Source organism: Homo sapiens, chromosome 12, assembly GCF_000001405.40.
Source record: "Homo sapiens chromosome 12, GRCh38.p14 Primary Assembly".
NCBI lineage: Eukaryota > Metazoa > Chordata > Mammalia > Primates > Hominidae > Homo > Homo sapiens.
Genome location: NC_000012.12, coordinates 89,611,117 through 89,632,915, shown reverse-complemented (window position 1 = coordinate 89,632,915; position 21,799 = coordinate 89,611,117). Strand labels below are relative to the sequence as shown.

The 21,799-nt window shown below is 36.2% G+C and overlaps 1 protein-coding gene across 45 annotated transcripts in view; it reads left to right on the top strand.

The window, feature by feature from the left end:
- The window catches only part of ATP2B1 (ATPase plasma membrane Ca2+ transporting 1), a 121,318-nt gene that overhangs the window by 76,451 nt on the left and 23,068 nt on the right, over window positions 1-21,799 (top strand). For 34 of the 45 annotated variants that reach the window (NR_182094.1, NR_182093.1, NR_182095.1 and 31 more), the window contains 8 exons: window positions 2,271-2,411; window positions 5,200-5,238; window positions 6,301-6,462; window positions 8,519-8,733; window positions 11,125-11,367; window positions 12,676-12,917; window positions 15,877-16,114; window positions 21,544-21,723. Coding sequence is in view for 42 of the 45 variants with exons in the window: in NM_001413053.1 (NP_001399982.1) it covers window positions 2,271-2,411; window positions 5,200-5,238; window positions 6,301-6,462; window positions 8,519-8,733; window positions 11,125-11,367; window positions 12,676-12,917; window positions 15,877-16,114; window positions 21,544-21,723 (1,460 nt within the window). In the remaining 3 variants the exon portion in view is untranslated. The other 11 variants (NM_001413060.1, NM_001366531.1, NM_001413058.1 and 8 more) reach the window with 5 other exon arrangements.

Here is a 21,799-nt window from a genome sequence, read left to right as displayed (position 1 = left end):
TCTGTTTTAACAGAGATGACTGGTAAGCTTTATGTAGACTCAGGTTCCTAACACACCAAGTATACCAGGAGAACTCTATAAATTTTCCACATTTAAGAAAAGACTGAAATAACTTTGTAGAGTCCCTTATCGCAGTATGGGTGGGAAAGTTTTTCTGCATTTATTTCCCTATTCCAAAAATGTACTAAAAAACATGACATGCATTTATTTTTAAATTTACTCTCATGATGCCATCTCTGACTGCTGTTCTTGGCTTCTTAAGTTTAGATTTTTAAAAGCAGTATTCAGTTAGTGGTGGGGATATGACCAAGACTTAAAACTGTTTACTTTGCCTGAGCACATTCACTGCCAACATCTGATTACCTGTGGTAAGGCAAAATAGAACCTAAACAATTGGAGTCTGGAGAAAACCAGAATTGTTAAAAGAAATAAATTATCTACTTTTTCACTATCTTGAATTATATTTCTTGTTTTCCCTGCACTTTCACTGGCAAAGAAGCTAATAACTAGTGAAATAATCAATATGGATTTTTAAAAGCAAGGAAGCAAAGGCCTAAAAAACAATATTGGATAAGTTACTCAGTAATTAATAGCCAAATATGGATTCTTAAATACTTGAGTAAGTACATATATTTTATGAGCGTACTTAGCAAATAATCCTTGAGCATCAACTTGGTTCATAAGATTATGGTAGATGCTATGTTCACTGTGCTCCAGAAGATTGTAAACAAGGAAATAAAATACAAATCAATGATAACGTGTAAAAAAAAAAAAGTTGCTTTAAAGCCTGCTTAAAACTAACAAAAAGATTAGACGGATTAGAAGCCTTTTAGTGAATAAGAAAAGATATAGAGATGTGGATGTACAAGTCGGAGAACCGTAAGCAGACTTATCAGCATTATAACTGAAGAAGAATATACTCTTTATCCTCTGACAGAGCTGGACTGAATCTTTGCCTTGACATTTAATAGTTGTATAACCTTCAGGCCGAGCACGGTGACTCGCACCTGTAATTCCAGCACTTTGGGGGCTAAGACGGGAGACAATTATGGAGACCAGCCTGGGCAACACATACTCTGTCTCTACAAAAAAAAAAAAAAAGTTGTATAACCTTGGGCAAGTTTCTAGAAAATGAGAATAGTAATGCCTGCCAACTTCCAAAATTGTTTTGCGGGACATAGAATTTAATCCATGTTCCCATCTCTGATTCCTAGTTTTCTGTAATGAAATTTTATGTTAGAGTAGTGGATGAGTAAGTTTGTAAGATTGGGTCGGTCTCAAGGTGAGGACTTTGGACTCAATCCAGTAGGCAACGAAGAATCAGAAATTTTTGAGCCATGAGAAGTATATGATGAAATCACAATTTTAGGAAGATTAAAATGGATTTCAGGATGAACTGGGAAGACACAGAGACTAGGTAGGGGGCTATTGCAGTTACAAAGGCGTGCTGGAATGAAAGCTTGTGTTAGGTAGAGGTTATGAGGTTGGGTGTGGGAAATGTGACATTGGTTGTCATTGATACATACGTTGTTTCTTTATAAGCAGTGTTTTTCTCAGAGAAGTGTCCCTCATACCTTAGGTTACAATTAATGAGCATTCATTGAACCCCTACAAATTCTAGGCAGTATGCTAAGCACTTTACATTTATAGGTTTATATGAGAAATGTAAATCTCATATTTCTATGAAGTGTACAGACAGGGAACTGAGTTGTTAAAATTTACCTAATATTACATGGTAAGTGAGTAGTAGATTGAGCTTTGAACTTGGATATGACTGATTAGAGTTAAAACCTTAAGCACAAGAAATAAGTTTTATTTAATGTCTTACTAAATGTATTTTATTGATCAAGACATGGTGGCTCACATCTGTAATCCCAGCACTTTGGGTGGCCAAGACAGGAGGATTGCTTGAGCCCAGGAGTTTGAGACCAGCCTGAGCAATATAGTGAGACCCTGTCTCTACAAAATTTTTTTAAAAAAATTAGCAGAGTGTAGTGGCGTGTATCTGTGGTCCCAGCTACTCGGGAGGGTTACTTCAGCCCAGGAGATCCAGGCTGTAGTAAGCCATGTTCACACCATTGCACTCCAGCCTGGGTGACAGACCAAGACCCTGACTTAAAAATATATATATATATTTATATATTTATATTTATATATATTTTTTCCTAAATGTTGAGGCTGTTAAAAACAATATTACTGAAGTTTGAAATTTGGTGGTAGCAAGGAGATCTATCAGTATTTTTAAAAACAAACTATGTTTTTGGTTATAGGTACTCATGTAATGGAAGGCTCTGGAAGAATGGTAGTTACAGCTGTAGGTGTAAATTCTCAAACTGGAATTATCTTTACCTTACTTGGAGCTGGAGGTGAAGAGGAAGAGAAGAAAGATGAGAAGAAAAAGGAAAAGAAAAGTAAGAATAACAATTTTCTATAATTGGTATTTGGAAATAGGGCAAATAATTTGTAAGAACTAGTACCTTCTTTCAAGAGATTCTGGTATGAAAAATTCTACAAAAAGTTAAAAGAAGATTTTTCTATTAGACTTAATAGCATGGGCCTTTAGAGAATACATCAGTCCCCTTTACCATGGCCAGAGAAATTCAGCATCTACTTGAATACTTCCATTGGCATTCTTGCATTTATTCTCTAGGTGTAGAATCTCCCATCATCTGATCAGCAAAATGAATTGAACTCTCACGGCGGATTTTTTCTGCTACTTTAGCAGTGGCTTTCTTTATCAGCCATATTATATTTTGGTTTCACTGAGCTTTCTTTTAATCTTCTTCACATTTCTATTCTACTATACTTAATGTGCTTGGTTTTTGAACACAAGACTAGGACTTCACTTTGACACCTTACATTTCTCTTGTTATATTCAGCCCATCATTAGATATCAAAATCTTTTTAAAATGTTGATCCATTGTATCTACTGTCCCTCCAAGTGTTCTGTTATCAGAAAACTTGATAATCATACATACCATTTATCTGCAAGGATCTTACAAGAAACTGTTATACACAAGAGACATCTCAGAATCTCCTAGTTAGGGGCATGCCACTTTTAAAAAGCCCTCCCCACCCTGCTTCTAAGTGTCTGCTATACCACCCTTCCTTCACACTCAGGATTACCCCTCTGGAGTCTTTTCCCTTTAGGTTGACAACATTTTACGGTGGTTTAGCCACTTAGATTTATTTGATGTTATTTAGGATAGTAAACCCATATTGTTGTTTCTCACATGAATATTTTGAAACATTCTAAAATAACTGCCTGGCTAAAATCCTGGTTTGCTATAACTACAGCAGTGTTTTTAATATTTGAGTGGTTTGTTTTGTTCTTTGAGTTTTGCTGTTAGCTATAAAATCTCTATTTCGAAACAAAAATGTATGTGAAAAATTCTGGACGCAGATCCAGGTGGCAAGCCCCCCATTCTAGGTTTTTTTTCTATGTCCTCCTTGAAGCAGTTCTCAATGTGCTTCCATACGTTTCTTAAGGCTGAGTAGAACGCAGTTTGAAAACCAGCACAGTAATGATTCCATTTATTGAATGTTTTACATGCACTATCTCATTAATCCTCACAACTGTACAAAGTAAAGACTTATTATTTTTTTACTGATAAGTAAACTGAGGCTTACGGAGATTATATAATTTGCTCTAGATCAAAGTGCTAGTAAGTGACAGGTCACACCCTCTTCTCTGGCTCAAGAGTCTACCCTTTTATGCTGTGCTCCATCCTAATCCACAAGAGTTGAAAGTCATTGAACGCTGAAGGGAAGTTTGCATCCTCACTGTATTCCACAGTGTCTTTTCCAGTAAGCTTCTTTTCCCCCTGAGTCTTATACACTGGTTTTATTAATCTAGTCTAGAACATTCCCCAGAAATTAACATCTAATTTGTTGACTCCCTTTTTTTGTTGTTGTTGTTTTTTTTTTAAAGAACAGGGCAACATTTTTTCTTCTGTGGGCCTCCAGCCCTTCTCCCATTCCCTTGACTGCCTTAGCGATTACTCAGAAGCAGTCCGGGGTAATGTGTCTCAGTTCCCTCAGTGGCCTGGACTGTGGCCGTCTGGTCTCTCCAAACTTGAGCTCATTAAAAGTAGCTAGGTATTATCTTACTATCTCCTCATCAATCTTGAGCTTCTATTCCTTCTTGACCATGTTTGTTCCATGTTTTCCGTTTGAAGATAGTTCTCCTCGATAAAGAAGCTAGAAGAATATAGGATGAATGGTTCTCCTGCTCTTTGGCATTTTTAATATTGTAGTGCCTACTCCAGACAATAGGCCTGTCCCTTCATTACTTTATTGCTTCAGATATGCTCATCTTTCTGTGTTTTCCAAATATAAGCTGATTTGGAGAGCTGCCTTACCTGGTAGTCTTACTGGCTTATTCTATACATTCGTATTCTAGTTTTACTAAGTTACCTCTCCTATCTTTTGTACATATTTTGTCCTCACTCTCATCAACACTCTCCTGTGTGCCAGTTGTCTTTTTTTTTTTTTTTTTTTTTTTTTTTTTTTTTGAGACGGAGTCTCACTCTATCCCCCAGGCTGGAGTGCAATGGCGTGATCTTGGCTCACTGCAACCTCCGCCTTCCGGGTTCAAGCAACTCTCCCGCCTCAACCTCCTGACTAGCTGGGACTACAGGTGCATGCCACCACACCCGGCTAATTTTTTATTTTTAGTAGAGACAGGGTTTCACCATGTTGGCCAGGCTGGTCTTGAACTCCCGACCTCAGATGATCCACCCACCTTGGCCTCCCAAAATGCTGGGATTACAGGCATGAGCCACCACACCCGACTGCCCGTTGTCGTTTTATAACATCCCTTCCTCCTCCCTCTCTACCCCTGCTCTTCCTCCTCCCTCTCCACCTCTGCCCTTTTCTGCTTTCTTGGGGTTATATTTGTATTTAGTTTTAAAACTTTTTGTATCATATTTAGGTTTATTACAGCTTATAAAATAATGAAGTCCTATGGAAAAATAAAACAAATATAGACACCCTAAATTATTTTGCGGTATTCTCCCGTAGGTAAGACTTAGGGAGTGATTGACCCAGCAGGTCATCACAAGTCAAATGTTTTCTAATCTGTAGACACACACACCATTGTGTAACAACTGTTATAGAAATGTGAACTACTTCTGCATAATTTAGCATGGCTGTATTCATTTCTTTTGGAAAGCTTTAATTCCCATTTTGTTCCTACAGATAAGAAACAAGATGGAGCTATTGAGAATCGCAACAAAGGTAAATTTAGGAGGACAAAAGTACAGTGAGCTTGTTTTCATTATATCCAAAAATCTACTGTATACCATATTTATTCAAAAGTAAGATACATGTGGCAGGGAAAATCAACAATATACGTTAGCTTGGGTTAACCTTTCTTCCTGCCGGTGTCTTAGTCATGTCGTCACTGCAATGTTAATAAGATTTTAAGTATGATTTGTGGTACAGGTTGAGTATCCCTTATCCGAAATGCTTGGGACCAGAAGTGTTTCAGATTTCAGATTTTTTTTTTTTTTTTTTTTGGATTTTGGAATATTTGCATGTACATAATGAGATATCTTGGGGAAGAGACCCAACTCCAAACACGAAATTTATTTATACATTGCCATATACACCTTCTACACATTGCCTGATGGTAATTTTGTACAATATTTTTAATAATTTTGTGCATGAAACAGTTTTGACTATTCCGCATCACAGGAGATCAGGTGTGGAATTTTCCACTTGTGTCATGTCAGTGCTCAAAAAGTTTCAGATTTTGAGGTATTTTAGATTTTCGGATTAGGGTAAATTTATGTAGATTGACTCAACTTAAGTATTTCAAGTATTTGAACGCTGGTTATTATATAGTTAGTAGCAAAAATGCATAAGAAACAAAATATATAGCATAAATGTTACTGCATTTATTTAAGAGTCATATATGCATATTTCTATATGCATATGGTTATACATAATCTCTACATTATGGTCATAAATTATAGGGGAGGGATTATGTTGTTTAGATGTTACCTAACATAACACACAGGAAAAGAAATTTAGTATTCTTTAGTTCTCAGTTTAAGGACCCTGTATGCCTCATCCTCATTACCTAGCACAACATTTTCAAATATGGTACAAAGTTTCACAACCTAACGTCACTATTGTCTTATTTTCTCTGTGTAGACACACACACACACTCACAAAGCTGAATGCTTATACCTTTACTGGTTTCTGTAAGAAACTGATTTTTAAAATTTCTTTAAAATGTTAATAGTGATATGTGCCTTTAAAGTATAGTGAAGTTCTATTTGCTCTTAAATGTAGCAAAAGCCCAGGATGGTGCAGCCATGGAAATGCAGCCATTGAAGAGTGAAGAAGGTGGAGATGGTGATGAAAAAGATAAAAAGAAAGCAAATTTGCCAAAAAAGGAAAAATCTGTTTTACAAGGGAAACTTACAAAACTGGCTGTTCAGATTGGCAAAGCAGGTATGATATAGAGAAGAAAATAAAGTGTTTTATTTTTAAGTATGCTTTCTGCTTAAAAATTGTCTTTTGACACACTTAAGGCTGGAAATTGTTGCTTTGTGAATAGAAGGGGAGTTTGAAATATTTTCAGTTCTAGCTACAATGCACCAGGCCCTTTGAGTTACTATAGGTACTTATAATTTGCTAATAAGTGGTCGGGTTAGGATTAGTGCCTAAGTCTGTCCAGTTACAAGCCTGTGCACTCATCTCTGAATTTCTGCATTAAGTGGAGAAAAGGCAACCTGTGAGGTTATTTAGTAAAGATGAACTAATTATATTTTAATAAAATTTCATCACACATTTTGCTCATCTTTTTACTGGTTATGGGAATTTTTAGTTATGTCTCTAATGTTAAAGTTCTGCACTGAATGGAGTCGTTGTAGTGCGGCTGAAGTTTCTATATTACTGCCATCACTAGAAAATACCTGTTAATACAGCCATTCTTTAAGGGAAAAAGCAGAGCTCTGAGGTTAGAAACAGCATGACCTCCAGCGGTAGCATCTTTTTGGAAGAACACTGTGTGGATAAATAAGCATATATTATTAAAATTGCTTAAATTGCATCATTTTACTGCTCTCTAGGAGTATGATGGAAAAAGTGACGTTTTTGCTTCTGTCCTCAGTACACTTATTATCTAATAGCAAATATTTGCTCTTTGTAATATGTAGCCAAGTGGTAATGCTGACTCATGTAGTGTTGGGGGAAAAGGTGGATTTGAGGTGGTAAATCCACTTAGTAGACATTAGATTGGGATGTTAGAACCAGATATGTGGACTTACACCTTTTTTTTTCTTTTTTTCTTTTCTTTTCTTTTTTTTTTTTTTTTTTTTGAGACAGGGTCTCACTCTGTCAGCCAGGCTGGAATACAGTGGCATGATCACAGCTCACTGAACCCTCCACATCCCAAGGCTCAGGTTATCCTCCTGCCTCCACCCCCGAAGTAGCTGGGACTACAGATGCACGCCACTACACCCGGCTGATTTTTGTATTTTTAGTAGAGACGGGGTTTCACCGTGTTGGCCAGGCTGGTCTCAAATGCCTAGGCTCAAGTGATCCTCCCACCTTAGCTTCCCAAAGTGCTGGGATTACAGGCGTGAGCCACTGCGCCCAGCTGCCTCTATTTTTGGGGGCGGGGGGTGTTGAGGGTGGGAGACAGAGTCTTGCTCTGTCACCCAGGCTGGAGTGCAGTGGTGCGATCTCGGCTCACTGCAACCTCTGCCTCCTGGGTTCAGGCGATTCTCCTGCCTCAGCCTGAGTAGCTGGTATTACAGGCACGCACCACCATGCCCAGCTAATTTTTGTATTTTTGGTAGAGATGGGGTTTCACCATGTTTGGCTGGTCTCGAATTCCTGACCTCAGGTGATCCACCCACCTCGACTTCCCAAAGTGCTGGGGATTACAGGCGTGAGCCACTGCGCCCAGCCAGCTGCCCTATTTTTTAATACATATGTCAAAGAGCAGAGTATCCCACAAGATACATGGTTAACTCTTGGTTTACTAAGTTAATGAAACAGTAAGGATAGAGCAAAAAAATTGAAGAAATAATACTTTGTGTTATATAATTTTATTTATTATAATGTTATTTTTTTAAAACATGGGTTGAGTATTTAATTCGAGGTCTCCCCATTGATGAGATTTTTACCAGTTTCTCTTTAAGCATCAGGGAGCTTGCCTCTTGAACATATAAAGCACCAGTTTATTCTAAGCTTTGGATACTTCCTTATCATTGCGTATTATTTTGTCTTAGTTTCAGTACAAGGCCAAAGATATAATTAAGTCTAAGAAAGAATCCTAAGTGTTTTTCTCCCAGTTCTCCTGGGGACAAGACTGTACTTGGAAGCAAAAAATTAAATCTGACAATGTCAAGTTATAAGGTGCAAGAAAGAAGTAATTTCTCAGAGAAATTCAATACTATCAAGCAAGTTATAACTCTTTACAGTGTTTAATTTATATCTGGCAAGGGTTAGTGTCTGGAAATTTAATAATCACATTTTTCTTTCATTTCTATTCTGAAAGGTCTGTTGATGTCTGCCATCACAGTTATCATTCTAGTATTATATTTTGTCATTGACACCTTCTGGGTTCAGAAAAGACCATGGCTTGCTGAGTGCACACCAATTTATATACAATACTTTGTGAAGTTCTTCATTATTGGAGTTACAGTTTTAGTGGTCGCAGTGCCAGAAGGTCTTCCACTTGCAGTCACGATCTCACTGGCTTATTCAGTCAAAGTAAGTAGAAAATAGTTCAGTAGACGTTGTTATGTTTAAAGCCTTAGCTGGTATAGAAAATGCCCATCTAGTTACTCCTTTTCTGCTTCTGAAAGTGAGGACTTTCATATAAATGTACACTATTTTCTCTAGAAATGTTGTCATTGATGCCCTGTACCTCCCACCAGTTGAATATCTCTGAAGGAGACCTGTGCATTCCACATAGGGCAGCCTTGACACAATACTAAGCACGACTCTGCTGGGCAAAGTTCTAGCATAATTTTCTCTACGTGATAGTTATATTGTCAAGTCATGTCACCTCCTCTTTCCCGTCTGTAAAATTAAGGTGAGCGTGTTAGGCTAATGTTTCTAAAAATTAAAAAAAAAGTTAAAAATTATGATTTCCATGTGTAAAACCTTTCAGTCAGTTCTCATGACAATTAGAGTAAAATGCAAACTCCTTACCATGGCCTGCAGGGCCCTGCCAGTCTGGCCTTTGCTTACCTCTCAGTGCTCAATTCCCTTCTCCTTTGGCCCAGTCTCACCAGCCTTCCTGATGATTTTCAAACATCTCAACTGTATTCTTACTTCAGAGCCCACTTGTTCCTTCCTTTGAGTAACCTGCTCTCTTTCTTTATTCAGGTCTCTTCAAATGTCACCTTCCTCTGACCACTTGATTTACAGTAGCTCAGTCCTTCTTGTTTTCCAAGTAGAATGCTAAGAAATGAGCTTTGATGGCTTTGCTTACTGCTGTTTACCTTAAAGTAATAATCCTTTTGAAGATTATTAATTTATTTTTATCAATTTTCTATCTTACGGAAAAGGTGGATTGGAAATAAAAAAAAAAAAGATGTAGCTTGGACAATTTTGAACTTTTTTTTTTTCAAAATGATCTTGCAGGTAAAAAATTATAACCAAACAAAGAATGCTGCTTTTGTAAATTTTCAAATGTTAATTACTAGTTCTCTTTAAGAAACACTGCTGACAGTGAGCAATATTAATTAATTAGTCATCGTTTCTACCTTTGCACTCTTCATTATTAGACCTGTCTTGATAAGAATTTTTTTTGCTTACTGTTTGAGTTTATTTTCTTTTCAGGCATTTAACAACTTTCATTTCAAAAATAAAGTAAATGTATCAAAGTGATAAGATACAGTATAATCATCTATCTGTCCTTTTTTGATATTTTAAAGTAATTTGAAATATTTGGGGTAAATACAAGTTTTGGACACATAGAACAGTCATTTTACCGAACTGCCATTAGTTCATTTTGAGTAGTCATTAATGATACTAATTTTTCAATTGATTAGAAAGATACTGGTAGGATTGACTTATGCTTTTTGAATAGAAAATTAATAAGAACAAGTTAACTACTTTTTTAAGCCTTTATTAGATGTTTATCTAGCTCTGTTACCAATTACTGTTCTTTTCACAGAGGTATAGTCTTTATGGATTCTCTGTTAGTGTTTCACAAAACTGAACATGGTTTCTTTACTGCAGAACTTCATTTTTCTAATCTTTAATATGTAAATCACAAGTAATTTAGGAAATACACATCCGTTTTTCACATATTTTTTCAAGGAACCAGTTTTTTTGCAGTATCTTGCAAATTAGTCATCACAAAAAACACTTTGTAAAATAACTCCATATAGTTTTTAACCCATTCCACATTAAGTGCTGAGAACTAATTATAAGGTATTTTAACTTAAATGCCCTGTGAGACTACTGTGAAAACTGTTGGTTTTTTAGAAATGATTTTTTCTGTTGTAAATGAGAGAAAGAAGTGAGATGCAGTTTGATGCTAAGGATGAAAATGCCAAGTCTGCCAGCATATAGAATAGCTAAAAAATGACTCATTCTAGTTTTGATATGTTAACTCTATCAGAGTTAATAATAAAAAAAAATCAAGCAACTACATACCCACAAGCTCTTTATTTTAGCTGCTAAAGGCTATTTTTTCCTTGGCACTGATGTAAGAATCTTTTGTTTTCCACTTAATAAGGAGGCTTAATCCTTTAATATACTCTTACACTACTATAAGTACCACTGTACTTAACAGTACAGATTGTCATTGCTCTTGCAATGTGAGGACATTTTGCAAAAACCGTTGGAGACATATATTCAGTATTATTTGTGTACGGATGTAGGTACCTGAATTGATTCACTAGGTTATGTTATGCAGCAATAAAATGATTGAAACCCCAGAAAGCTCTGGTACTGTGTTTAGCTTATTTTAATAGGTCAAATATGCTAAAAAAAAAAAAATTTCAGTATTACATTGGTACTTTATACATTGTATTTATAGAAAGCTGGGAGTTTTCTAATTTTAAAACAATTTATAATCATTTTAATGTAATGAGGTGATTGGTTTTATATGCAGCTTAACTAGTTTTTTTTTTTTGGTCACTGTAGAAAATGATGAAAGATAATAACTTAGTAAGGCATCTGGATGCTTGTGAAACCATGGGAAATGCTACAGCTATTTGTTCAGATAAAACAGGAACTTTGACAATGAACAGAATGACAGTCGTTCAAGCTTACATAAATGAAAAACATTATAAAAAGGTTCCTGAACCAGAAGCTATTCCACCAAATATTTTGTCCTATCTTGTAACAGGAATTTCTGTGAATTGTGCTTATACATCAAAAATATTGGTAAGGTTTTTGAAATAATTTATGAAAATTAATTTTTAAATCTATAATGATCAGACTATATGTAAGTCTTCAGACCACCATTACTGTATGTAAACTGAACTGTTAAGTTTTTAAAAGGCATATATTTATTTATATAATGGTTTTTAAATTTGTGTTATGAGTGAGGTCTGCTGATCAACATAAACATTGTTTGCTTACATTTTTCTCCTATATTTTGAATTTCCTGTGTTCAGAAACTCTCCAGCCTTATAACCAGAGCATGTATTTAATTTTAAATTCTTGTTAAGCTCATTTTTGAGAAAGATCAAACTGTCTTACTATAGGAGGTCAGCTCTCAACTTACAGAAAATTTTTAAGCCGATTTCAACTTAAAATAACATGTTTTATATATGGTTGCCATGTGTTCTGTTTGGTTTCTCAGTAGTTCCTACCTAAAAGGTGGTCCTTAGACCTTTTTAGAACTAATGCAGTAAAGTAATTCTAGACTTGTGCCACCATATAATAAAAAATTTTCAACTTACAAGTTTTAAAAATCTTATTTATAACAGAAAGAATGCGATGTTATGTTTGACTTAATCTCTTCTAGTGATTTATGGATGAAAATCATTAACAAAAATAATATTGCAAGCTGTTCATTAGGGAAAACATACATGAATTGGATGATTACATTGGAAAGTTATGGGATCTTGGTTCTAGATCTAGCTTTGCCTTTTACTAGCTGAAAGTCTGAGCTACCTTCTTTAATTACTGAGTAAAGATGATCACATCTGCCCTTAATACCATTGTGATAATTATGTAAAGTGGTATTTCTGAAGGCACTATGAAGGAATTGAAGCTTCTCACTGCATTTAAGAGAACAGTATTTTAATGAATGTACTTTTAAGCCATAAAAATTGGTAGATTTAATTTTGAATGATTTAGTATAAAAGTTAAGTGAAAACAGGAAAAGGAAATTAAAATTAAGTTCCACTCTGTATTAGGAACCAACTATAAACTTCATACATCTTATATCACTTAATTTTGGGGTCATAAGTGCTCCTATTTTACAGATGCTGAAGCCAAGGACCAAAGCAGTTGGGTAATTGTCAAATTTCACGTAGCTAGTAACTGGCAGGACTGAGATTAGAATCCATGTCATTCTCACCCCAGGCTCCTTTCTACCTTACTTTTCTATATCCTTCTTTAAAATGTTGATATTAGACAATTGCTTTGTAATTTTATTTTAGAATATCGCAGTCTGTTTTACATTATAAATTAAACGTTCTTAGAGAAACGAGATACTAGCTACTAAATGTTTTTCTCTTATAGCCACCAGAGAAAGAGGGTGGATTACCTCGTCACGTTGGTAATAAAACTGAATGTGCCTTGTTGGGACTTCTTTTGGATTTAAAACGGGATTATCAGGATGTTAGAAATGAAATACCAGAAGAAGCACTGTACAAAGTCTACACCTTCAATTCTGTTAGGAAGTCCATGAGTACTGTCCTGAAAAATTCAGATGGAAGTTATCGAATATTCAGCAAGGGTGCATCTGAGATAATTCTGAAAAAGTAAGAGTAAAATGCTTGGATGAATAAATTGCTGACTATAGTTGCTTTATGGAGTATCTACTGTGTTGTTATTGTTGTTGTCTTTTTGTGAACATCAGGCATTTGATAGGACCTCAGAGTTTTTTAGCATATTTTATGGTATCCAGATATTTGCCCCTGCTATTCTGCCATTTTCACACTCTAGCTTCTCTTATTTCTTAGCATTTTGTTATAGGGAAAATAAGCTCATTACATTCAATCTGGTATGTTTAATGAAGTATACTTTGATGTTTATTTTTAGAAGTCGATTTACTTGTTATTTAATATGCAGAATCTTGAAAAGCCTCCTGGGAAGAAAATCAAGTTTATGTCTTTCTTTCTTTCTTTTTTTTTTTTTTTTTATTTGTTTAAGGTGGAGTTTCCCTGTATCACCCAGGCTGGAGTGCAGTGGCGCGATCTCAGCTCACTTCACCCTCCGCCCCTGGGTTCAAGGGATTCTCCTGCCTCAGCCTCCCAAGTAACTGGGATTACAGGCACCTGCCACCACGCCTGGCTAATTTTTGTATTTTTAGTAGAGTCAGGGTTTCACCATGTTGGCCAGGCTGGTCTTGAACTCCTGACCTCAAGTAATCTGCCTGTGTCGGCCTCCCAAAGTGCTGGGATTACAGACGTGAGTCACTGCACCTGGCCTCAAGTTTAGATCTTCAACGCTCATTGTGGTTACTGGACTCTGAATGTGATAAGAGAATTATGAAGTAATTTTTAGAATAGCAAAGCATAAAAGCTGGATCTTGGAAATTCCCCATTTATATCAAAATGAGATTTATCATGTTTATGCTGCTGCAGTGTCGTATTTAAATATCTCCTGTCATTTTGAATACTAATTTTTCTTACTGTCCTTTTACAGATCAGTAGCTTTAATTTTGTTATTACATGTTCACATATAATTTCCCTGATGTTTATTTGTTATTAAAGGTGGTGAAATTATTTTAGTTTCTTTAATTTCATTAAAGAAGTAGAGAACTGGTTAAAAAAAAATACTGGTTAAGAGCAAGTTGGGAAAATTGGAACTCATTTGAAATTATAATATTTAAAATATTAAAGTAAATGTTTAAGATATACTTTTAATTTGCTTACATGTGGATTATAAGCCAGTATTAATGAACACTTTACAATTAGTTTAAGAGACAAATATATAAATAAATAACTGAAGGCAGCATATAATAAATTGGTACAAAGTTTTTGGGTGAGAGATCACACTGTAGGGATGTGGCATTTAAGATAGATTTTGGTATGAAATGAGAACTTCGAGGTGGGGAAACCACAGCAGAGGAAAGGAGATGAGAATATGCAGGTCATACTGGGGAGGGGAATATCTGGTTGTATAGTTCAGCTGAATAGTGATGGGCTTTTGTGGCACACAGGCCATATACAGCTTTCTTCTTGCCACAGTACACTCAGTTACCTGATTTCATTGAAAAGGTTAGAAATCTGTTTCAACCCTGGCTTGCTGGGTAGTAGATAGATGGTTTAGGAGAGAATTTTTTTTAGTCAAAACTGATCAGGCATTGACTCTTTCTCTGCAACTAACTAGCTTCTGGATATGGGGCAGATTTTTCCCTTACTTCCATTTTTCTCATCTGAGAAAGCGGGTGATGACCACCAACTCTGTGGCACTTAAATGAAGTAATGCATACCAACTGTCTAGTGTGAAGCCTGGTGGACAGTAAACATACAGCAAGTGTTCCCACAGTAATATTTGCATTTTGTTGTGGAGACTTTTTAAATGTTGGGCTGAGCAGTTAAAATTGAAGTAAGCCAGATAATGCAAATGAGGTATTTTTTTCTTCAAGTAGTAGAATCATCAAAGCTGTGATTAAAGATAATTCTTGCATCAGGGAACAAGGTGGGTTAGAGGGAAAAAAAAAATCAACTAGAGACATATCAGTTAAAAGGCTATTGCTATTACAATAGCTGTAGCTTTGTAGCTTGAAGTAAGAACCAGAAGAAAGTAGTAGCAGGAGAAATAAAAAGGAGTGGACACATTGAGGAGGCTGTTCAGAGGAGAAATGTATAGGACTTAGGAGCTAATAGTAGAGAGATGATCAGGAAAAATAAGTATTAAGGTGAAATTTTAGACTTACATCAAAATGATTAGGGTAATGTTGATGCACATTACATGGGCAGTGAAGAGGCAGCTTCCAGTCTTTCATCCATTAAGGTTTAGGTACTGATAAAACATCTGGGTAGAATTTTTCAGCAGTGATGGAAAGCTTTGAAAAACAAAACAGAAGATGTGGATTTGGGAATTACCTCCCTAGAAGCAGGAAGAGATGGCATCATCAAGGGAGAGGAGTATAGAGAGGCATTATGAAAAACAAACTTTAAATAGGTATATAGTATGATTTTTATTCATTATGTAATGAAAGAAAAGGTAGTAGTGTCACTGAAAATAACTTTTGGCATTAACTCTCATTCTGATAGAATGCTTATTTTAACAATAAGTTATTTTTTTTCTTTCATGGTTAAAACAATATAGGTGATGAAACAACATCTCAGGTAAGGGGTTGACTACGCTTGGCTTTTTACCTTAAAAGAAGAAAACATTTGTGATTTTGGTATTATTTCAAACTAATGTCTGATTCTGTACCAAAATGGTGAAGTATATAGTTTATTCTCCTTTGCCACCCAGGGATTCTTTATGAAAGTTTGAAAGCACTGCATTTCCAAAAGACAAGGTTTAGAGAAGTTCTAGAGTAATTGATAAATGGAGAACTGTCAAATGAGAACCATACATATTAGTTCTGTTTTGTAAAAGGGAGGGTGAAAAGTGAATTTAAGTCTATAAAAATGAATTATATGTAATTCTCTAAATTCCAGATATCAGATCCCATGATTTCTAGGCCTGCCAGTTCACTTAAATGGCATTAACCATTATTTTTTTAAATTATTGATGTTTGGATTCAACATTTCCTTTTAGGTGTTTCAAAATCTTGAGTGCTAATGGTGAGGCAAAAGTATTCAGACCAAGGGACCGTGATGATATTGTAAAAACTGTGATTGAACCGATGGCATCAGAAGGCTTGAGAACCATATGTCTTGCATTCAGAGATTTTCCAGCAGGAGAACCAGAACCAGAGTGGGATAATGAAAATGATATTGTCACCGGCCTTACATGCATTGCTGTTGTGGGGATTGAAGATCCTGTGAGACCTGAGGTGGTGAAACATTCTGTGTTCTGCATGTGCAGAATCTCATAACTATAGAGGACCTAGGCCTTAATTGTAACCAGTTTTCTAGTAAAATTCTTGGTGTTTGTGATTTTTTTTTTTTCTGTGTGAACCCAAGATAAATGAAATAATAGTACCTACAGTGCATATGCTAGCTTTTATGGTTTTTAAAGACAGTGTCTCTTTGGGATCCTATGTGTTCATAGCACCATAACCTAGCACAGTGCCTTGAAGTGGGTAGAATTTTCAGTTATTATTTATCTTAAATTAAATAATAGGTGCCATTATTTGTTTTCACAGTCTCTAGACTAGCATTGTCTAGTAGAGCTTTCTGTGATAATAGGAATGTTCTGTATATTGTTTAGTACAGTAGCCACTAGCCATGTGTGAATACTGACTTCTAGTTTTCAGTGGCTAGTGCAACTAAAAGACAGGATTTTTAAATTTTATTTAATTCAAATTAAAATATCTTGCTAGTAGTTGTCATATTGGATGGCATGCAGCTCTAGACTGATTTCCCTCTTTAATTTTTTTTTGCTATTTGGTTTTTCACCTTTTTTAAGTTTGTTGAACAACTACTGTGTGCCAGGCACTATCCTAAGGTACTAGAGACTTAAGAGTTTTGAGATCTGATCACCGGCCTCAAAGAAGTTACTGTCTTATGTGGGACGAACCAAACACGTGATTATTGCAACCCAAGATATTACTACCTTGCTGGGTATATACAGAGCATGTTATATGAGCAGAGAACACGAGTTCCCAACCTAGCCTAATAGCATCTTTTTATTGAGTTCTCACTGTGTGCCATATACTTAAGCCATGTGTTTTACAAGTAATTTTTTTAAATGTCTACCTTTATGAGGTATGCATATTATTACTCTTATTTGGCAGATTTTTAAGAATCAAAAATGTATAGAGCGTTAGACATGTTTAAAAATACATTTTTAAAAAATCGAGAATGTATAGAGCATAGACCTAGTGTGTTAAAATACCAGCTTTGTCTAAAACACATGTGCTTAAAAGACTACTGTACTGTATTGACCACTGGAGGGGTCAGGTAAGACTTCCTAGAGGTTAATTACCTGATCTGATTCTTAAAGAAGGAGGAAGTATTATCTAAACCAAGAAAGAGAGCGAGCAGTTAGGTATATTCTGAGCAAAGAAGCAACATAAATAAAAGCACTAACAGAAAACCACTTTTGTTCAGTGACTTTATCAGCTAATTGATTCAAAACCTAATGTGTAGCACTCTTTTAGGAGCTGGAAATACTGCAGTGACCAGAATAGGCTTGAGATTTATATTCTAGAGGAAGAAGACAGCTAAGTAGGTAGAATGATAGATACATGGACACCATGTCAAGTGAAAAATGAATTCTGGGAGGAATAAGACTTGGTCCCTGTTCTCATAGGCCTTAAGATATTCTGGGTGGCAGGGTGGCATATCAGGGGGGATGATATTAAATAAGACAATTACAAGTGCAGAAGGGCTATATAAGATATGCACGGTGTAATGAAATAAAGTAATGGAGAGAGACTGCATTAAGAATTTCTGAGGATGTGGCATTTGAGTTGCAATCTGATGGTTCATAGTGGGTCTGCCATGTAAATAGCTGCAAGAAGAGCATTCCAAGCAAAACGAGAAATGCAAGTGAAAGTGAGAAAAGTAGCTATTTTAAAGGTGGAAAAGAGGCCAGTGTGGCTATAAATGTAAAGAAGAAAGGGGAGACGAGATGATCTCTGGCCTTACTGGGCTGTGAGGACTCTGAATTTTCTGAAATTCAGGCTGGGAAGTGACATGATTTATGTTGTTAAAATACTATTTTGGGTACGTGTAAGACAGGGATTAGAGATGAAGAAGAGTAGAAGCAGGGAAGCTAATGAGATTATTGCAGTGATCCCAGGCAAGAGATGATCATGGCTTGGCCCACAGTTGTGGCATAGGAGATGGAAAGAAAAGAATGATTTCAAAGTAAGTGGAGATAGAACCAGTAGGAAGTAATATGTTGGGTTTGGATACGCTGTTTTTGACATTGTTGAGGTGTCTGAGACATCCAAATGTATGTCAAGCATTTGGACCTCAGAGCCTGAAAGTGGGCTAGTCTGAAGAAATCACTGATGAAACTAAAGATATTTAGAGAAAGTGTGTAGCTAGGGAAGAAGGCTTTTATGACTAAGAGGTTGCCACAATTAGAAGTCTTATAAAGGAGATGGTCGCTAACCATCTCTGTACAAGTTAGAGAACCAGTCTGTAACTTGGTGGCTGATAGAGGGTTACCAATGTAATAAGAGAACCAGAAACAGCAGCCTGTTGAGAGATTAAGATAAATTTGGTTTGGGGTTTTGTAATTTCAAATGCTTATAAAATAGCCAGGTGGGTAATGTTTGCCATGTGGTCACAGGAGAATCATTCAAAGGTTGTTTTTTTATTTTGTCTTGTTTTTGTTTTCTTTAAGGAAGGAGTCTTCCTATGTTGCCCAGGCTGGAGTACAGTGGCTTTTCACAGGCAGGAGATCATGGTGCACTGCAGCCTCAAACTCCTGGCCTCAAGCAGCCTCCCACCTCAGCCTCCTGAATAGCTGTAATTACAGGCATGCACCACTGTGCCTGGCTTTTCAAAGTTCTATACATTGACTTACGGTTTAAACTTTAACATGAAATCAGGGTATCTGCAACTTTCATTCTTTGGAAGACATCAGTCTATTATCATGCTCTTGGCATTGCAGTTGATGGAGAGTTTTATCTTTTTTAAAGCATGTAAATGGCACTTGTTTTTCAGTATCACAAAATGAGATGGGTATTTATATACTAAATTGAGACGATGTAATATGAAACAGTTTTCTCTGAGTTTATTTTGTACAGTGCAATTCTGGTGGAGGGATTCTTGAATAATTAGATGTCTAGAACAAATCCAGTTTTTATTACATATGTATAAGTACTTGGCCTTGCTTTAGTTTCTTATATGTAAAAGTAGAGATAGTTTGTAAGTTTTAAGCTGAAAGCATCTGGTGACTAGTAGGCAGTTAATAAATGTTAGTGTGCCTTTCTTATGTATTATTTGCCACATAGTTTTAACCTGAGACCAATTTCTCCCTTTTACTCATTGTTTCCCTGTCCAGATGATCCTGGGATACTACCTAATCAAGGACTGCTTAGATACAAAAATTTAAGATAGATTTTATCTCAAATGAGATAACAGGAGATATATACATTTATAAAACAGACAAGTGTTTTTAGTGTCAAATATTGATTTTTTTGAAAAAATAATCTAAGCAGGCCCTGTCCTTTTGCTCATCACTCTGGCACTAGGACCTAAGCACAGTGCCTGGCATTCAGTAAATATTAGTTTGAGTAAATGCACGTGATGTCCCCCTCCAATGATTTGAATCACTAAGAGTTGACTGGGTAGAGGGAAATAACTTTTATGATGTAAATCTTAAAACTTATAGATAAATATGTATTTAAATTGCAATTAATTACATTGCATACATGTTTTAAAACATGGTACCCTGGGCCGGGCATGGTGGCTCACACCTATAATCCCATTACTTTGGGAGGCTGAGGCAGACGGATCGCCTGAGCTCAGGAGTTCAAGACCAGTCTGGGCAACATGGTGAAACCCCATCTCTACCAAAAATACAAAAAATTAGCTGTGCATGGTGGCGTGTACCTGTGATCCCAGCTACTCAGGAGGCTGAGGTGGGAGGATCACTTGAGCCTGGGAGGCAGAGGTTGCAGTGAATCAACATTATACCCCTGCACTTTATCCTGGGTGATGGAGTGAGACCCATCTTAAAAAAAAAAGTACCTTGTCTGGAATGTGCACCCCTTAAAAAATGTACCTTGCTATTATCCCAAAGATATTTAATTCAGCAGTTCAGTAAATACTTAGCTCCAGTTACATGCCTGGTGCTTATTTGTTAAATGAACAAAAGGTATACTAGGTGTTGGTGATGCAAAGATAAGGTAAAGGTCCTACCTTCAAGAAGCTCATTGAAGATTCAGGTAAACAATAACTATAGTATGACTTAATGATCTGTAATAGAGGTATGTATAAGATGAAGGTGCAGTTTTGTCTAGGTAGACCAAGAAAGCTCCAGATAAGTTAGATTTACACTGGATTTAGGATAGACTTCACAAACAGCTAGGCTGCAGTTCAAAGTTAGCCTTCAGTCAAGTTATCTTTGTTGGGCGGGGGGAGTTAGAAACATTAAGTATGAAGAGATTACGCACAAATCTCTGTTTCTTTCTTTTGCAGTTACAGGTTCTGTTAACACTGGGGTCTCATTCCATCATGGCAGAAATAGGCTAGAGCTAAATAGCTCTTTCATTAGGCATTTGTCTCGGGGGTTTGTCATTTTCAGCATATTTTCTTCATGTATGTTACCTCCGTGATCCTTTAGGCATTTTAATTTGCAACCCCTGCTCCAGTAGGATCCGTGTGGATTTTCTGGTTACAGAAAAGCAGGAAAAGATTTTCTAGGTGAAAGGAACTGTAGTAGCACAGGCACAAACACTGATTGTGTTATACTGAGAACTTTGTGGTTTGTGTATAACAGCTGAGGAATCATCGTATATTTTAAGAAAGTGTATTTCTGCTTAAAAAATAAAAAACTCTACCATCAAGTATATCATATGTTTTAAAGGAGGAACAAACTTAAAGGCAGGGTACCTTATAAAAAGCCATTGCAGTAGGTTGGGCAACAAGCAACAGAGACATGATGCAGGGCAAGTTTGAGGTAGAATCCACAGGACTTACTGGCTTCTAAGGATGTAGGATAAGAGAGCTGAAAGAAGAGGTACAGGTGACTCTTAGGTTTCTGCTAGACAGGTAAAGGAAACATGGTTTCACTTTTAGACACCTGAATCGATACCCACTTTACAGGTGGAACTATGACTCTCCTCTTACAGTGAGGTAGGGGCAGGATGTGGATTCTAAAGTCATTAGAATATGATGGAATTAGATGGAAATTGAAGGTATGGGAATAGGTAAGGTAACACTTAAAAGATATGGATTGTGAGCCACCCTTAACCCTAAACAAAAGAATACCAACATTTTACTCATGTAATCTGGGTAGTAAAACCAGAAGGGTAGAAAGCCAACCAGAAAAGAATTGCCTAATGGTTGCCTGGGGAAATGGTGCTTTAAAAAGCCTTCTGTAAATAAATACTGCAAACAAATTAGTAGATGACAACTGAAAACGAAGCCTGAGCTAAGTCTGGCAGTGGAATTGGAAAGAGATTATTGAAAATAGTGCAAGAAATGTTGAGTATTGGAAATGAAATCAATCATTATTAAGTCATTGTATCATTGTCATCATTTGGGGGACTATAAATTAATGCAGTCGTGTGCAGTGAAATATTTTTCCTTCTAAAAATACCAAATTAACTTTGTAATTTTTTTTTTTAATGTAAACCAGGTGCCAGATGCAATTAAAAAGTGTCAGAGGGCTGGAATTACTGTGCGGATGGTCACTGGTGATAATATTAATACTGCTCGGGCCATTGCTACCAAATGTGGTATTTTACATCCTGGGGAAGATTTTCTGTGCCTAGAAGGTAAAGATTTTAACAGAAGAATACGAAATGAAAAAGGAGAGGTAAAGATTTATTATTATTTTGTTTTTGGTTGACAGATGTTTAATATATTAGGAATTTAACTCAACAAACACATAT